Here is a 19,796-nt window from a genome sequence, read left to right on the forward strand (position 1 = left end):
GCAGAAAGTGCCTGCACGGGAAGCTGCAAGGGCAAAGGTCCCGATGCCGGGAAGATCTTGGAGGGTTTGTGACACGGAAGGGCTGGTGTGGCTGGATTTAGTGGGAGAGGGAGAAGGTTATAAGGGGAGAGAAGAGATCAGAAAGGCAGCTGGGAGCAGGCTTGTAGAGGGCTTTGCTAGCCAGGGACAGTTTGTTCTCTGGCATTTTCCAGCACTGATTGCATTGTACACAAAGTAGGCACCCAATGAGTGATGAATGAACAAACTAAAAGATAAAGACCTGAGGCTGTTGACACTCATAGCTTTCCTTTGCTTTACTTGGCAAAGATTAGGATTAACCTCTACTCATCCTTTGCATACCTCTCGCTCAGAACCTCAACACCTCTTTCTCCTTGCAAGATTGTTCTTAGTGTCCTTGGTAGCCCAGTGTCCCCTGGTTAAAAATGGCCTTAGGGAAAGAATTTGCGGAAAAGATGGCTATCTGAAGAAGATGACCACATCTCCTTTTTGGCTTTGTCTATTCTGTTCAACAGCTCCCATTCTGATTTTTTCCATAGGGTTTAGCAGATCTGGCATCAGCCTGCCACTCTTGGTTAGGGTTAAGTTTGAAGAGGCAGTGTAACAGTGGAGTGGCAGGATGGGATGGTAGTGAAGGCTGTGGCCTTTAGAGCCAGACTGCCCGAGTAAGGTACCTAGCCTTCTTGGTCATCAATTTACTTATCTGTGAAATGGGCAACCATAATCGTTCATGACTGCAATATTGAAAGCTTTGAAACTAAGATTTTTAGTAACTCACTTGAGGCAACACCTGTCCTGAGTTAATCTGAAACTGTTTGGAAGGAAAACTTGACATGAAACTACTTATAATCATTATTTATTCCATTTTTTAAATATTAGTGCATTTTGTTTGATTAGGAGACAGTCATAGACCCTTCCAGGGGAGTTATATAATTTATAATGTAATTTATAATGGGCCATACTTCTTAAAATCTGAAAAATTTTGAATTCCAAAACACTGGGCTTCAAGAATTTGGATAAAGGACTGTGAACCATTACTGTCCTTCCTAAAACATGGCAGCTAAAATGAATGTGAGCTGGCAGTTGTGGTTAATGTGCCAGCTCAAAGTTAAATGGGGAGTGAGAAGGTGTCTGGATGTCATGGAGTCATTCTCCAAACTTGCATTTCACCCTTGTGGGTGAGATGGTAAAATGTGGCTCAAATGATACAGTAGGAGGATTTTCCAGGCCTCACAGGAGTGTTTTTTGGGGGGAGATCTTACGGTGCTCCAGCTCTGGCCATTCTCCAGCTAATGGATTCAGAGGTGATTTCTGATAAATGGGGGTTCTTTTGGTTTCAGGTAAGCAACAGAAGTCCACATAAACTAGCTCAAGCTAGAGGATTATCAACGAAGCCAAAGTCAAGAGGCAGCTGGGCCTTAGGGATGTTCTGGAACTAGGAATGAAAGCACCGTGGACAGTTAAGGCTTCCCTCACTCTCTTTTTCCTGCTTGTATGCAAGTCCATCCATCCATCCATCTGGCTGCAGAGCAGCTTTCTCTGCTTACTAATCCACTTGGCAAAAACCAGCTACTGTCAACAGCTTCTGAGCTGTCTCTCCTGCATGAATTCCAAGCTCCCCAGGAGTAGGACATGGGCTTGGCCCATTGGGCTAAGGAGATGCGGTGGTGTGTGGGGTCAGGTCACCCTGCCCAAACATGGCTTCTCCCTCAGTAACTTTGTGGATGGAGAGGAATGGGCAGCTACTAGTAAAATGTGGGAAGGTTGTGTGGGGAAACTGTGTGAAGGTTAGAGAGCAGAAGAGTTGGATTGAGCAGACCCTGGTTCACACCAAACCAAAAACAAATAGTAAAGTGATGAGCAGGTAGGACAGGCTATAAGCAGAGGTGTCTCTGATCCTGTATCTTGAAGGAAAATCACACTCACCTTCACTACCACATCTGTTTGTACCAATGGCGGTTTTTTAAAAAAGGCAAGGTGAGAAACTGATCAGTTCAGGAAGGCGCTATCTGGTTCTTGTTGGGGTAGGATGGGGGAAGGTATAGAAAGGAAGATAGAGCAACAGCACTAGAGAACAAAGGGATGGTTGAAGTGTTTCACCTCCCCAGTCTATCAGTGCACAGGCTGTGCCTGGTTTCCTTCCACACAGCTGTGTCTCAACATCAGAACAAAGGATTTCCTCTGGGCCCTTTTGTACAGGTCGACCCAAGATCCTTCCTTGCCTATCAGCTCCTGGGGGCTATGACCACTTTAGATGTGGCCCCGCCTCATTCTTCCTGCTGAGAGACAAAATCAGGAGAAGTCCAGTTCCCAGGAAGACAGTAGGAGGAAGATTAGGAGGAAGGAGTCCCTGCTGTCCTTCCCATGGTAGAAAAACCATGCCTTCCTCCCCAAGATTTCACTTAATTGCTACTCCTTTAACTGTGTAGTTACCTTGCACTTGGCATGTTTACTGGGTGGGACAAAAATCAAGGGTCTGCTTGAGGACTTTTGGAGAGGAGACAAATCCAAATACCTTCTGACTTGGGAGCCACTTACAAGCTTAGGTCCAATCTGTATGATTGGAGAAAGTAGCCCAGGACTATCTTTTCATATAGATGCAGAGGCGCAGAACAAATAAAGCCCCATTCTTTGATAATTTACCTGGGGTTCAGAAAGTTTATTCTGAGCTTAATTCCATAAGATCTTCTCCAAATATATGTTGCAGTCACTGGCTCCTTCTTGGCATTTGAGCTAACATGGAACATTTTCCTCTCTAGCCCTCCTAGTTCTGTGATTTAGATTGACCATGAGGGCAAGGTAATAGAGGAGGAAGGTGAGGAAAGGACCAGAAATATGATGTGTCTGCAGACAGCAGGAGTATCTAGTCTTGTAAGCTGTTGCCTCCCTGATGCAGCCCTAGATTCCCTAGAAAGGACCTGCTCCTGCCCCCACCAGTTGCCATGGCAGCAGGTTCCAAGTAACTCCAGCCCAAAGTTTTACACTTAAGAGGCATGCAACCAACAGGTAAGTAATGACAAGAAGGGCTGTGTGTGCAGTTTGGGTAAGATCAGGCCCTGGTAGAAAGAGCTGTGGGCTGGAGGTCTGACAACCTGGGTTTGAGTCATGGCTCTGCATGGTGAAAACTTGGGCAAGTCACTCACTCCTCCTGAACTTCAATTTTCATATCTATAAAATAAGTTAAGATTGATGATCTCTGGGATACTTCCTGCTCCAACTTGCTGGGTTCTGCTTGCCTTTTGAGCATCACAGTTCCAGAAGCACTCTAGGCCTTTACCTGGAAAGCATGGAGCCAGGAAATGTGAAACTCGAATAGCCAGTTGGATTGGTCTACTTAGGCTGCTGTAGCAAAGTACCCCGTGCTGGGCGGCTTAAACAACAGAAACACATTGTCTCACAGTCCTGGAGGCTGGAAGTTCATGATCAAGGTGTTAGTAGGGTTGGTTCCTCCTTAGGGCTGCAAGGGAGAACCTGTCCCAGGCCCCTCCCCTAGCTTCTGATGGTTTTTGGGCAGTCTTTGGTGTTCCTTGGCTTGTAGCTGCATCACCTGGTGTCTGCCTCCATCTTCATGTGGCATCCTCCCTGTGTGTGTGTCCGTCTCTGTGTCCAAATTTCCCTGTCCATGACACCAGTCACATTGGATTAGGGTCCATCCTAATGATCTCACTTCAACTTTATTACCTCTGTAAATACTGTATTTCTGAATAATGTTACATTCTGAGGTACTAGCAGTTACGACCTCAACTTATCTTTTCTGGAGGAAACAATTCAACCTATAATACCAGTTGTAAGTCTTGGCTAAATATCTCTGCATGGAAGAAGTGGAAAAAGTGAACTAAAAATAAGTTTTTATTTTTTAAAATCAGGTGATATTTTTATGCAATACTTGAAGCTGTATTTACCAGCTGTTATCAGGTTTGAGATGTAGTGTTCCAACAAATGATTCTCTGAAAGGAAACATAACATGCTCCTTTCTTTCTTTTCCTTTTTACTTGCTTGTTCCCTCCATTCTTTTTGTTTCTAACTTCAATGCATTAATTCTTACTCCATTCCCCTCCACTCTCCCTACCTGGGTTTTGCAAAATAAAGACAAATCTGTTCTTTATTCTCTGGTTCACCTTCTAGAAGAAAAATGCAGCCAACATCCTTATTGAATCATTACTTCTGCTTTCAAAGCCCCCTTTCTTCCTCTCCACCTTTCCAGGAACTGAGAAATCTTGGGGCTGGATGAGACCTGAGATGTTTTCTAAGCCCCTAACTGACTTGGGTCTCTTGTACAACAGCCAACAGCCTGCCACCTTTTTTTTCCCAAAGATATGGTCTTGGCCAGGTGCAGTGGCTCATGCCTACCATCCCAGAACTTTGGGAGGCTAGGGTGGGTGGATCACGAGGTCAGGAGTTTGAGACCAGCCCGACTAACATGGTGAAACCCTGTTTCCACTAAAAATACAAAAATTAGCCGGGCATGGTGGCACGCGCCTGTAATCCCAGCTACTCCTGAGCCTGAGGCAGGAGAGTTGCTTGAACCTGGGAGGCAGAGGTTGCAGTGAGTGGAGATCACACCACTGCACTCCAGCCTGGGTGACAGAACAAGACTCCGTCTCAAAAAATAAAATAAAATAAAATAAATAAAATATAAAATAAAAATAAAATATGGTCTTGCTCTGTCACCCAGGCTGGAGTGCAGTGGCATGATCATAGCTCACTGCAGCCTTAACCTCCTAGGCTGAAGCAATCCTCCTACCTCAGCCTCACAAGTAGCTAGGACTACAGGCATGCACTACCACACCTAGCCAATTTTTAAATTTTTTGTAGAGATGGGGGTCTCCCTATGTTGACTAGACTGGTCTCAAACTCCTGGACTCAAGCGATCCTCTTGCCTCAGCCTCCCAAAGTGCTGGAAATTACAGGTGTGAGCCACCACGTCCGGCTGTCTGCTGCATTTTTAAGCCATCTCTGCATGATTATCTCACCACTTCTGAGGTATACGTTTGATGACTATAAGCATTAGGTAGATCTGTGTTAGGTTGAAATCCAGGTGCCCATTCTGTCACTTCTGAGCTGCCTGGAGCATGACAGAGCAAAGCCATTGCATCTTCCAAGAGGCAGCCCCAAGAAGCAACACCAGCTACTTAGCCCCAGGCTCCTATTAACATTTGAGAGACAGACATCTCTGGTTCTACTAGTTATTTAGCCAGTCAACTTCAGGATCTGTAACTAACTAGTAGAGTGATATAGGCTCTTAGACTTGAGTTATAGGTAAAAGACTTGAATTTCAAGTACCTGCTCTCTCAATTACTACCTTAACTTTTCAGAATCTCAGTCTGTTCGTCCACAGAATGAAGACCACAGGACTTGTGTTCATTCTTCGTAGGATTGCTGTGAGAGCAAATAGGACAATGTCTCTGAAAGCGGTTTGTCACTACTACTGTTACTACTATTGCTGCTGCTGCTACTATTAGCTCCTGGCTGGAGGTTCTCTTTCTAGACTGGGTTAAGATAGGAAGTCTATAAGGAAACTTCTGCTGTAAGTCACCTTGAGCTTCTAGGAAGTGGCTGGGGACAGGATGTCTGGAAAAGCCAAGAGGGGTTATTCAAAGAATTACTTTTCTAATCTGTGACCCAAGTTCTGATTTTTTTTGCTGGATTATAGAGCTGCCTGGGAAATGGCCAAGTTCAGTTCTTAGAAGAAAAAAATCTAAGTGCATGTACTGTTTTGGAATGAGTTAAGCAAAACACAGAATGACAGCCATCATTTGGATCCTCTCATCCAAAGCAAGAATTAGCTCCCCTTCAATATCAGAGACTTTAAGAAAAAATGGACAGAAAAGAGTTATTGTGTAATGAATGGCAAGAAAAGAAAGTGCTAGGGGTTTGTTCCCTCCTGGCCTACTCTTTCTCACGTACATCCCTTCCAGCATTAAGCAGAACAAAAGAACTGCGTGTGTACAAATTACAGGTGAAATTGTTGGTAGCCTGGGGATGGGCTCTCCCTCTCGGATGTAGACCTGAGGCCTGAAGGCTCCCACTTATTAGCACTGATGGACCCACAGCCTCCATTCCACCCCTGTGGTTTGCAAAGTGAGTTTCTCACCATGCGGGGCCTGTTGTTGCCCTGCTCTAGTCTAAGCGAGCATTTGGAAGTCCTTTCAGTCATTCTAATGAAGAGAGAAAGGAGGTTGCTTTCAGGTGCCTGAGGGCCTGGCATCTGCGGTGCTTACACATGAGTGATTTTAGTATCCAGAGAATTACATCAGGAACTAATTCAAGCCAATCCTAAATTATTTATCTGGGACAGATTTCTTATTCACTCTCTTGTTCAAGATAAATAGATTGTTGCTCTGATATTTTCATAAAACATCTTAATAAATCTCAAATGTTTGCTTCTGTGCCTTTCTGATATCCTAGCCATTATTCATTTTTGGTTTGGATTTGACCTTGGTCTAATAGAGCTACAAGACTTCCCCAGGTCCTTGCTACCACTAGGTGTAGTCACCTGAAAAATAGTTTTGTATCGTTGGTGAAACCATCTGGTGGTGGTATGAATATATATTTAGAGATAACAGAAATAAGGACTTTGAATCTTTACCTCAGAATATCCCAAAGTAAGCAAAATATAAAATACACATTTTTTAAAAGTGAAGGAACCATATTGGAGTAGTAATTCCCAAGCTTTTCTATTTATCACAGTTATCCCAGTAGGTCCTCAGTGTGGCCTTTTCAATTCTGGTTTTTGAAAAAGCTCCACTGATGTTTCTGATAGGCTCCACTCCACTACAATAGTAATTTATGTTTTCTAATTCAAACTCTGCCAGCCCTGGCCTATCAAAATGTGATGTTATTTGTTCTCATTAAATCAAATTATTTTCAATATTATTTATAAACTACAAGCTGAACTTATTTCATGCATGCTTTTTTTTTTTTTTTTTTTTTTTTTTTTTGAGACAGAGTCTCACTTTGTCACCCAAGCTGGAGTGCAGTGAAGTACAGCTCACTGCAGCATTGGACTCCCAGGCTCTCAAGGAATCCTCCTGCCTCAGCCTCCTGTGTAGCTAGGACTACAGGGATGCACCACCACATTCAGCTAATTTATTTTTTGTAGAAACAGGGTCTTGCTATGTTTCCCAGGCTGGTCTTGAACTCCTGGCCTCAAGTGATAATCCTGTCTCAGCCTCCCAGAGTACTGAGGTTGCAGGTGTGAACTGCCATGCCTAGACTATTCAGAGCATGCTTTTTAAAAATTTAGACTAATTTACCAAATCTTAGCTAAGGTATTCTCTTGCTCATGGGCAAAGTAATTTATTCTACTTCCCTTGTTTTTATTTAACTCTTTAATTCTCTTATAGTTAAAAAAAAATAGACTTAGTAGGGAATAATTTGAGAAAAATCATTTCAGTGGCCATGCACTTGTGATTTTATGTATACAGCTGTGTAAGTCTGGGTTTTTTGGGGTTGTGGCATCAGAATCCACCTCACACTAGCTGAAGCAGAAAATGAATGTATTGGCTCATGTAGCTGCAAAGTCCAAGGATGCAGCCGCTTTAGCTAGAGTCGGAGATTTCATTAATCACTCCACTGCCTTCATAACCTAAGCCCCCTTTTCTCCCAGTGCAAATAGACGTCCTCCTTATGGCTAAGAGAAGTGGCCACCAGCAGCCTGAGATTTACAACCCACAGCTAAGCAACCCCAATAGAAAAATCTCCCTCCTAATATCTGTATATCAGCTGCAGGAAAGTCTCCATTTATTAACCCCTTCTAGGGTCACATCTCACTGGCGTTGATGGTGCACAGAGATTGACAGCACCACCTAGACCACACAGAGTGGGGAGGCGCTCTTCAGAGAAAAGATAGAGTCGTCCGTGGAACAGGGGTTGGCAAACTTTTCTGGAAAGGGCCAGACAGTAAATATTTTAGGCTTTATGAGCTACATACCATCTCTGCTGCAAATTCTTCTTCTCCTACAAAGCTTGCTTAGTACTACACCGAGGAACAAGTACTGGGAGCAGAATCAAAATTATGCAGAAAAGGACAATAGGGACAAAGGAAAAAAGGAGAGAAGAGCGAGGGGTAGGGGTGCAGAAGCATGTATTTTAGAAAGTCTTTAGGGCACATTTCTCATCACAAACAACAAAACAAGAAGTTGTAGAGCGAGGAAGCTGGAAAATCTATCCTTGGCCATCCATCCTCTGCCAAATAAAAAAAAAAAAAAAAGGAAAATTTATTTCACTTAAACATAGCTACAGGAAAAAGACCATTATCAATGTCCATACAAAGTTCTTATTTAAAAAAAAGTAATAATAAGGTGCAGAATAACATTCCATTAGACAATGAAAGCAGGTAAGAAAGACATGTTCACAAAAGAGGTGAAAACCATAACCAAATATTTTATGACAAGCTAAAATAAGGCAAGAAAGTGATAAAAGCTATGGAAAAACAACATACATCAAAGGTAGAAGAACTTAGAAATGACGTGTTTGTAAAGTAGGAATATTCAAAAATAGAGGTAACAAAACTACCTTTAGAAAAAGAAATTTAAAAAATCATTTCAGAAATTAAGATTAAATTACATGAAATACTAGAATAAATAAACACATTCTTTTTTTAAAAAGGAGATTAAAAGAAGGAAAAATTTAAAAATCCAAAAGAAATGAAGAGAGAATTTGAGAGAAAATAACAGCTCAAAAAGATATCCAAAGATGTTCAAACATATGTAAAATAGGAGGTCCTGAAAAAGAAAACCAATCAATGGAAAAGAGCAGATGCTAAAAACTATAATAAAAAAAAACTTATCTTAAAATATAAACCTCAAAGTGACATCTTGAAAGGACATATTGTTTATCTGGGGGAAAATGACTCAGAACAGAATTCAATGAGACATCTTCTTGTAAAATTATTGGAATTTAAAGGAAAAAAATTCTTTGGATATTCAGACAAAAGAACCAGACACTTAGAGAAAGAAAACTCAATTACCAACACACTTTTTTTTTTTTTTTTTACTGCAATGGTTTATGCCAGGAGAGAGAAAATGTGAATCAACCACTTTAATCAAACTGACATTAAATTATAAATGCTTCAGACAAATTATTCTGAAGATGTGAAAATTCAGGAAATAATATTTCAAAAATCTTTCCTTGGGAATCTCTTAAAGAAGAATTTCCAGACAACAAAATGACTGGAGAGACATTGACATAAAGACTATTGGTGAGCATTAAGTGTCTATTAGTCTATAGAACAAAATCTAAGTGAAGATTGTAAAGGTATATGTGTAAGTATGGTGCATGACGGCTGTGTGTTCTGGAAGTATAATGCAACTATCCAAAACTGGGGGAAGAATAGAGTGAGTATATGAACAGCAAATTAAATTCACTGATTACCTAATAGATATTAACTGGGAATAAAACATTACTTCAAATTGGATGCTAGGGAATGCTCATGGTAGAAACCAATAGACAACAGTAAAAAATCAGAGCTCTAAACGTATTAAGAATAATGGTTAGAATAAAGGTAATGGTTAGAACACAAATAGAAACCTTTCTAAATACCAAAAGATATACCCATAAACGTATTTGCTTATATTAATCATACAACATAGCAATGCAGCAATAAACAATTACACTTAAAAAATGTTTATGCTTGGAAGAGGAGGAAATGGGTAAAGGGAATAGGGATAGTAGTTACAATTATTTGAATATACCTTGTTTTATAGATTTGACTTTGGAACTATGTATATATTTTATCCATTTATGAAACAAATGTAGGGCTGGGCGCAGTGGCTCACACCTGTAATCCCAGCACTTTGGGAGGCTGAGGTGGGTGGATTACTTGAAACTAGGAGTTTGAGACGAGCCTAGCCAACATGGCGAAACCCCATCTCTACTTAAAAGTACAAAAGTTAGCCAGGCGTGGTGGCAGGTGCCTGTAGTCCTAGCTACTTGGGAGGCTAAGGCAGGAGAATCACTTGAACCCAGGAGGCGGGAGGCTATGGTGTGCCGAGATCGCACCACTGCACTTCAGCCTGGGCTGAAGAGCAAGACAAACAAAACACCAAAATTAAATTTTAAAAATCAATTCCTAAAAAACAAAAGTGAAATTAAACAAACCTCACTGCCTATCTACATAGAGGCAAACCCACATAGAGAAAGATTTTTTTTCTTTTCTTTTTTTAGTTTCATTGTTTTTTTTTTTTTAATTAACTTTTAGGTTTGGGGGTATATGTGAAGATTTGTTACATTGGTAAACATATGTCATAGGGGTTTGTTGTACATATTACTGCATCACCCAGGTATTAAGCCCAGTGCCCAAGTTATCTTTTCTGCTCCTCTCCCTCCCCCCACCTCCCCCATCAAGCAGACTCCAGTGTCTGTTGTTTCCTTCTTTGTGTTCATAAGTTCTTATTTACTCCCACTTAGAAGTGAGAACATGTGGTGTTTGGTTTTCTGTTCCTGCATTAGTTTGCTAAGAGTAATAGCCTCTAGCCTCATCCACATTCCTGCAAAAGACATAATCTTGTTCTTTTTTATGGTTGCATAGTATTCAATGGTGTGTATGTACCACATTTTCTTCTTCCAATTTGTCATTGATGGGCATTTAGGCTGATTCCATGTCTTTGCTATTGTGAATAGTGCTGTGATGGACATTCACGTACATGTGTCTTTATGGTAGGATGATTTCTATTCCTCTGGGTATATACCCAGTTAATGGGATTGCTGTGTTGAATGGTAGTTTTCCTTGTAGCTCTTTGAGGAATTACCATACTGCTTCCCACAATGGTCGAATTAATTTACATTCCCACCAACAGTGTGTAAGTGTTCCCTTTTCTCCACAACCTCACCAGCATCTGTTGTTTTTTTGACTTTTTAACAATATCCATTTTGACTGGTGTGAGATGGTATCTAATTGTGGTTTTGATTTGCATTTCTCTAATGATCAGTGATATTAAGCTTATGCCTGTGTATGTCTTCTTTTGAGAAGTGTCTGTTCATGTCCTTTGCCCGCTTTTTAATGGAGTTGTTTTTCTCTTGTAAATTTAAGTTCCTTATGGATGTGGGATATTAGACCTTTGTCAGATGCATAGTTTGCAAATATTTTCTCCCATTCTGTAGGTTGTCTATTTACTCTTGATAATTTATTTTGCTGTGCAGAAACTTGTACGTTTAATTAGATTTCACTTGTCAATTTTTGCTTTTGCTGTGATTGCTTTTGGTGTCTTTATCATGAAATCTTTGCCCATTTCAATGTCCAGGATGTTATTGCCAAGTCATCTTCCAGGGTTTTTATAGTTTTAGGTTTGACATTTAAGTCTTGAATCTATCTTGGTTGATTTTTGTGTGTGATATAAGGAAGGGGTCCAGCTCCAATCTTCTGTATATGGTTAGCCAGTTATCCTAGCACCATTTATTGAATAGGGAGTCTTTTCCCCATTGCTTATTTTTGTCAGCTTTGTCAAAGGTCAGATGGTTGTAGATGCGTGGCCTTATTTCTGGGCTCTCTGTTCTGTTTCATTGGTGTCTGTGCCTGTTTTTGTACCAGTATCATGCTGTTTTGGTTACTGTTGTCTTCTAGTATAGTTTGAAGTCAGGTAATGTGATGCCTCCAACTTCGTTCTTTTTGGTTAGGATTGCCTTGGCTATTTGGGCTCTTTTTTGATTGCATATGAATTTTAAAATAGTTTTTTCTATTAATAGTTCTGTAAAGAATGTTGTTGGTGGTTTGATAGGAACATCACTGAATCTGTAAATTGTTTTGGGCAATATAGCCATTTTAATGATTTTGATTCGTCCTATCCATGAGCATGGGATGTTTTTCCATTTGTTTGTGTCTTCTCTGGTTTCTTGGAGCAGTGTTTTGTAATTCTCATAGTAGAAATCTTTCATCTCCCTGGTTAGCTGTATTCCTAGGTATTTTACACTTTTTGTGGCAATTATGAATGGGATTGCCTTTCTGATTTGGCTCTCGGTTTGGCTGTTGTTGGTGTATAGAAATGCTAGCGAGTTTTGTACATTGATTTTGTATCCTGCAACTTTGCTGAAGTTGTTTATCAGCTAGAGGAGCTTTTGGGCCAAGACTATGGGGTTTTCTTTTCTCTTTTTTGAGACAGAGCCTCGCTGTGTTCCCCAGGCTACAGTGCAATGGTGCAGTCTCAGCTCACTGCAATCCCTGCTTCTTGGGTTCAAGTGATTCTCCTGCCTCAGCCTCCCAAGTAGTTGGGGTTACAGATGCCCACCACCATGCCAGGCTAATTTTTTTGGCATTTTTAGTAGAGATGGGGTTTCACCATGTTGGCCAGGCTGCTCTCAAACTTCTGACCTCAGGTGATCCACTCACCTCAGCCTCCCAAAGTGCTGGGATTACAGGTGTGAGCCACTGCACCCAGCCTGGGGTTTTCTCATATAGAATCATGTCATCTGCAAACAGAGATAGTTTGACTTCCTGTCTTCCTATTTGGATGCCCTTTCTTTCTTTCTTCTCCCTGTTTGCTCTGGCTAGAACTTCCAATACTATGTTGAATAAAAGTGATGAGAGAGGGCATCCTTGTCTTGTGCAGGTTTTCAAGGGGAATGCTTCCAGCTTTTGCCCATTCAGTATAATGCTGGCTGCGGGTTTGTCATAGATGGTTTCTTATTATTTTGAGGTATGTTCCTTCGATACCTAGTTTATAATATAAAGGGGTTTTGAATTTTTAATATAAAGGGGTGTTGAATTTTATCGAAAGCTTTTTCTGTGTCTATTGAGATAATTGTTTTTTGTCTTTAGTTCTGTTTATCTCATGAATCACATTTATTGATTTGTGTATGTTGAACGAAACTTACATCCTGGGGCCTACTTGATCATGGTGTGTTAGCTTTTAGATGTGCTGCTGGATTCAGTTTGCAAATATTTTGTTGAGAATTTTAAAATTGATATTCAAGGATACTGGCCTGAAGTTTTCTTTTTTTGTAGTATCTCTGCCAGGTTTTGGTGTAAAGATGACACTGGCTTCATAGAATGAGTTGGGGAGGAGTCCCTCCTCCTCAATTTTTGGGGATAGTTTCTGTAGGAAAGGTACTAGCTCTTCTTTGTACACCTGGTATAATTCAGCTGTGAATCCATCAGGTCCTGGGCTTTGTTTTGGTTAGTAGGCTATTACTGATTCAATTTCAGAGCTCTATTGGTCTGTTTAGGGAATCAATCTCTTCCTGGCTCAGTCTTAGGAGGGTGTATGTGTTTAGGAATTTATCCATCTCTTCTGCGTAGAGTTGTTCATAGTAGTTTCTGATGGTTGTTTTATTTCTGTGGGGTCAGTAATAACATTCCCATCCTCATTTCTAATTGTGTTTATTTGGATTTTCTCTCTTTTCTTCTTTGTTAGTTTAGCTAGTGGCCTACCTATCTTATTAATTTTTTTAAAAAAACAACTCCTGGATTCATTGGCCTTTTGAATGGTTTTTCATGTCTCAATTTTGAGAAAGACTTTTCAAACTGACTCTAAACCACAGTACTTTGACTGTATATTCCCAGTGAGATAAACTCTAAGGATAAAAGGAAGTGTAAAATATTGTATTTTCAATGATTATATTATTGGCAGCAATATTGGTATTATTATTCTAAGTCTGCTTTGTATGTATGGAAGGATAAAACAAAATTTATATATGTGTGTGTGTGTGTGTGTATATATATATATACTTTTTTTTTGAGACAGGGTCTCGCTCTGTTGCCCAGATTGGAGTGCAGTGGCACCATCTTTGCTCATTACAGCCTCTGCCTCCCAGGCTCAAGTGACCCACCTGAGCCTCCCAAGTACCTGGGACTACAGGCACACACTACCACACTGGGCTAATTTTTGTACTTTTTTTAGAGAGGGGATCTCACCGTGTTGCTCAGGCTGGTCTTAAACTCCTGGGCTTAAGCGATCCTCCCGCCTTGGCCTACCAAATTGCCGGGATTACAGGCATGAGCCACTGTGCCTGGTCGCAAAATAATAATTTTGATGGTATTACTGAGAACAGGATTTTTGAAAAGAGAGAAAGGAGATTTAGTGGAATCAATGAGGTAGTTATCAATTGAGCTTAAGTAAAAAATCTAACATTTTAGGTATTAATTTGATATATTTTTTCATTTAAAAAATGTTCAGAATCCCAATTTCTGGAACGGTGAAGTAGGGCCCTTCAAGATTCTTCACCTCTACAAAAGCAGTGAGAACAATGGCAAAAACCGCCAAAAATAAATGTTTTCAGAATTCTGGAAATTGAAAGCATGCAACAATTTGAGGGGTTTCATTCAAGAAATATGGCTGAACAGCAAGCTTTGTTTTATTTTTTTTTTTGAGACAGGGTCTCACTCTGTCCCCCAGGCTGGACAGAGTTGTGTTCACAGCTTACTGCAGCTTCAATCTCCCAGGCTCAAGTGGTCCTCCTACCTCAGCCTCCAGAGTAGCTGGGGCTTACAGGCACGTGCCACCATGCCTAGTTAAGTTATTTTTAATTTTAATTTTATTTTTAGTAGAGATGAGGTCTTGCTATGTTGCTCAGGCTGGTCTTGAACTCCTGAGCTCGAGTGATTCTCCCACCTTAGCCTCCCAAATTGTTGGGATTACAGGCATGAACCACTGTGCCTGGCCCTAAGCTTTATGTTTTGGTTTGTCATAATCTCACTCCTCTAACACCTACCACACAGTTCCCATGTAACAGCCTCACAACTATAATAGCTATGAAAACTAGCAGCTTGGTGGGCACTGGAGGAGGCACAACATGTTTGGGGCTCTCAAAAAACTCATTCCTGGAGAATTGCCACTATTTGACCTGTCTGAAAACTCTCTGGACAGATTCACTCTCGGAGCATTCCTTATGTGACCTGACACAGAGCTCATGCTGTGTGAACAACCCTGCCCTCAGGAAATTTGTTAAAAAATGACCAACAACAATCGTTGAACAATGCAGCTGCCCAAGGCAGCATTATTGGTTGGAACTAAGAAGAGATTGACTAAAAAAAGGAAAAACCAGGGAATGCGGCTTTGAAAACGGAATAGAGCTTTGAAAAACTTCAACATAGTCCATGGAATCTAGAAGGCCACATGCTTGTGCAGGGCTGTGCATAAGCCCAGGAAAGAAAGAGAAGGCTCTGGGTGACCCCGAGGCTTTGCACGGGCAGGAATGAAGGGAAATGCAATGTTGCAAAATGTCCGCTGGAGCACTGAAGGTGTGTTTAAACACACAGAGTTCTCAGCAGAGGCTAAGGGGTTAATTGGCTCAGGCATGAATAAATCTCTGTCCAGTCATTAGTTGACCACTAAGTGAAACAAGCAGAGACTTCAGGGGCCACACATGTCAAAGAATACAGATTTTACAGAATTAGTCCAGAAAAGTCACTAAATAAGCACACAGCAGCAGCAGTAACAATAAACAGCAATAAAAGAAAAATGCTTGGGCTGGGCTTGGTGGCTCACGCCTGTAATTCCAGCACTTTGGGAGGCTGAGGCAGGCAGATCACGAGGTCAGGAGATTGAGACCATCCTGGCCAATATAGTGAAACCCCATCTCTACTAAAAATACAAAAAAAAAAAAAAAAATTAGCTGGGTGTGGTGGCACACTCCTGTAGTCCCAGATACTTGGGAGGCTGAGGCAGGAGAATCACTTGAACCCCGGAGGCGGAGGTTGCAGTGATCCCAGATCGCACCACTGTACTCCAGTCTAGTGACAGAATGAGACTCCGTCTCAAAAAAAAAAAAAAAAAAAAAAAAAAGAAAAAGAAAAATGGTTGATATGGGGAATCTGCTTTTCAGATTTGCCACATTACATTTTTTACAATGCCTATTTTATCAACAAAAAGTTATAAGACATGCAAAGAAACAAGAAAGTTTTCTTAATTTGTCTACTGAAAAGACATAGAAACAATGATCAATCCAGTAGCAATAAGCATCCCTACTGCCAAGATTGTGGTCTCTAAATACTATTTCCTACATCAAGAAATAAAAACAGTGCGGGTGTGGTGGCTCACGCCTGTAATCCCAGCACTTTGGGAGGCTGAGGCAGGGCGGATCATGAGGTCAGGAGTTCGAGACCAGCCTGGCCAGTATGGTGAAACCCCGTCTCTACTAAAAATACAAAAATTAGCCAGGCATGGTGGTGCGTGCCTGTAGTCCCAGCTACTCACAAGGCTGAGGCAGGACAATCACTTGAACCTGGGAGGTGGAGATTGCAGTGAGCTGAGATTGTGCCACTGCACTCCAGTCTGGGCTACAGAGTGAGACTCTGTCTCAAAACAGAAATAAAAACAAAGGGTTTTCTGGAGAAATGGTTGATTGCAGGTCTGAGGAAGGAAATGTACAAAATGAGAGCAAAACTTCTTGTAATACCAGAAAAAAGAAAATTATCAAAACCAAGCAGTGTCATGTCAAAAGGACTCAGAAGCCAGTTGAATACACTCCAACTGACCAAAGATGGGATGATTTGAGTCGATAAGGGTAATAATTGCAATAGATCAAAAGTCGTCAAACATAGTTAAATTTATCTTAATTTGGGTGCATCCCAAAAGAAGACCAGGAGACAATGAATTGAATGCCAGTGGTTTACTTGAAAGGTGATCCCAAGAAACAACACAAATTAGCGAGGAAACTGAGACAGGGAAGGAAGAACAGCAAAATGTGCATGTGACTTGAGAGCCCTCTCCTAAATGATGTAGCATGTCTCTAAAAATTGTCCTGCCAAGGGAAGGTGAAGCCACCCCTCATGGTTAAAGGTTGTCTTTTGAGGCATTGAATCTCTGTCATTTCTGGGCTGCCCACAGGTGGGCTCAGCAAGTTCCTATAGCTTTGGAGAAAGCTCTCAAAGAAGCAAAAGGAGGGTGATAAGAGAAGCTGTCAGTATGCATTGTTACTATCCAGCACAAATGCAGGTGAAATCTGAGGTGAACCCAGGGGATATGGGGTTGGACATCAACAGCATCTGCTAAAAATCCTTGAGTTCATTATGATGATACTAAAACAAAGAAAGAAAGAAGAAACACACCAGCTTATTGTTCTGAAAACCAGTAAATGCAAAGAGTCAGATATTTATTGTGTTTTTCCTGTATGATATGTACCTAGAGGAAATCATATCATTGGCGAAAGAATGATTCTTTTATGGATGTATCCCAGATAATAAATGATAGAGGAATAATGGAATTCAAATACCACCATTTTAAAACCCCAACAGAATTAATGATCTAGGCAAAGATCATAAATGTCTGCTACTATTACAAAAATAGCCAGACATCATGCACCTGTTTATGGAAGTACATAAATCCTCCAACAAAAAAGCAGCACCAAAAATATTAAAACTGAATTTGACCAAGCCCCTAAATTTAACTACCACTTACAGAAAATATAAGCGGTCCAAGGAACATATTAAAAAACAGGGAGACAATCAATACACTCTACATTGCAGGAAGGTCTCCAGGACAAAAGAAACAGTTTACTCAGCAAAATAGATGCAATGAAAGGGGAAAAAATTTTCCCTCATCTTGTTAGGGGTGGCAAATATCTGAGTCTCACAGTACCAAATGTTGCCAGTGGAAGATATCTGAGTCACTGGCAGCAATTCTGTATGGGTCTGCAGCAACCCCAATTGTTCCCTCCTCAGAAGAAAGAATTAAACTGAGGGGTATAAGGCAGAAAAAGAGACCAAGGCAAGTTTCAGAGCAGGAGTGGAAGTTTATTTAAAAAGGCTTTAGAACAGGAAATAGAGGAAGAAATGCAAGTGGGCACGTGAGGGTCAAGTGCAGTGTTTAACCTTGAACCTTTATAGGCTGGCCCCTTTCCCATAATTCTTCCCTTAGGGTAGGCTTCCCGCATGCACAGTGCCCTCCTTACCCTTGGGAGGTGAGCATGTGCAGTGTGTTTAGGAAGTCCATCTGAGGCTTGTCCATCTGAGACTTTCTTCCCTTTTCAGATGGAGTGTACCCAGAAGGTCATACTCTGCCATTTTGTCTCTTAAGGCACATGCCCAGGAAGTTGCGTCTCCCTGGCATCTGCATTCAATTAATATTTTAGTGCAACAGATGTGAACCATCAGGAAATGGCCTTTCTCTGGTCTAGCTGCCAATTTAGCACTTCTAGAGAGACAATGTGATAACTTCCGAATCATCACCCAAAATTCCTAGTGGGTGGGGAAGAGCCCTCTCCTGCCCCACTCTTGACCATCTAACTACCTGCCACAATATTACTCTAAAAAACAGAGAAAGCCAGAGAAACTAGTTCCTTTTAGTCTTCTTAAATTGAGACAAAATATTGTTTGTTTGAAAACTCACGATTTGTTCTTTTTGGCTAGAGTTGCTTTAAGCAAAGCTGTGAATTCCTACAAACAGAGGAACTGAAAGAAAATTTTCTCTACTGTGAGTCTCTCAGAGGGAAACTGTCAAGTAATCTCTCCATACATCTCTCTAGATACTCCACATATCCATATATATTCCATTTATCTCTACATAACTACAATTTTTCTATATATCCTTAAGTTAATCAATACAAGAAAATCTTTAAAAGTTAGATTGGGTCAGGATAAATGCTGAATTGGCACCTGGGCAGTTATGACTTAGAGTCTTCCAACACTTTCCAGCTAAAGGAGTTTGTCTTATGTCTATCAGGCTGCCTCCTTTCCCAGGCTGTGAGTATTGGATACTTCTAGTGCATGGCCTAAGCATGTTCCTCCCAGTTTCCCATGGTACTATGTACGTACACCAGAAAACCTTTGAGCAAAATTCAAATAGGAGGGTCAAGGAGGGGAGGCAGTCTCTGGTTCTTTTTGTGCCTTATAAGTGGTTTTGCTCTTACGAGTTGGCTGCAGACTTGTCCAGGTGCCCCCTACCTCCCTCTTTATGTTCTCTGCTCTCTTCTCTCCCGCAGCCTCCGATGACCAAGGTGGCAAGCTCCATTGCTGGTGGGGGTAGCCATCTGCTCTTTATTTCCCCATCTGGAAAGCTCTGCCTACATGATTTCTAATTTTCAACCCTTGCCTCAAAGCTGCAGGCAGTCAGCTGCCTGAGAAGCAGTGTGGATGAGGCTGATACAGACCTTCCTTCCCAGTTCCTTCTGCCTCCTCGGCGAACAGTCTAGGTCAGTGATTGAGGGAACTAAAAATAGCTGAACATGCTCTAGCTAGTCATTCTCTAGTGGCTGGGTCAGATGGGGCACCGGAAAAGGGAATCATGGAGCCTGATGTACAGCCCCAAGAACTGCAGCCTCCACCTCCTGGGTTCCAGTGATTCTCCTGCCTCAGCCTCCCGAGTGGCTGGGATTACAGGCATGTGCCACAATGCCGGGCTAATTTTTGTATTTTTAACAGAGATGGTGTTTCACCATGTTGGCCAGGCTGGTCTCAAACTCCTGACCTCAGGTGATCGACTCGCCTTGGTCTCCCAATGTGCTAGGATTACAGGCATGAGCCACCGCGCCCATGTCTGGCCCACTGCCGGTGTGTGATTTTGGCAGCAGAAAAGCAATAGAATAGACATTCACACACATACTTACGTGCACTTGATACTGTGCACATGCTGCATACACAATGACCATGGAGAAAATCCAGTGCTACCTGCAAGTCTAGAGGTTGACAAACATGGCTTGGAGGGACCTTCCTGGAGGAAGTGACTAGAAAACCAGATCTGGAGTGAAATGCTGAATGTGGACAGACACAAGGAGAGTAAAGAGGAAAGCACTCTTTTCCACGTAGCTGTTGCAACAGTCAGGAGGATGAGAGTGGTGGGCTCTATGGAGTTGGACAGCCCTGCTGGAAATCTACTTTGTTCCTTACTAGCTGGGTGGCCTTAGGC

The 19,796-nt window shown here is 41.5% G+C and overlaps 1 annotated feature.

Annotated features, from left to right (window-relative positions):
• Positions 18,983 to 19,183: a silencer, noted in NCBI's record as "peak6672 fragment used in MPRA reporter construct". NCBI's record gives its function as "represses an SCP1 promoter by STARR-seq MPRAs in K562 erythroleukemia cells {active_cell/tissue: K562}" and the evidence as "EXISTENCE:reporter gene assay evidence [ECO:0000049][PMID:32103011]".

Source organism: Homo sapiens, chromosome 7 (genome assembly GCF_000001405.40).
Source record: "Homo sapiens chromosome 7, GRCh38.p14 Primary Assembly".
In the NCBI taxonomy this organism is placed as follows: domain Eukaryota; kingdom Metazoa; phylum Chordata; class Mammalia; order Primates; family Hominidae; genus Homo; species Homo sapiens.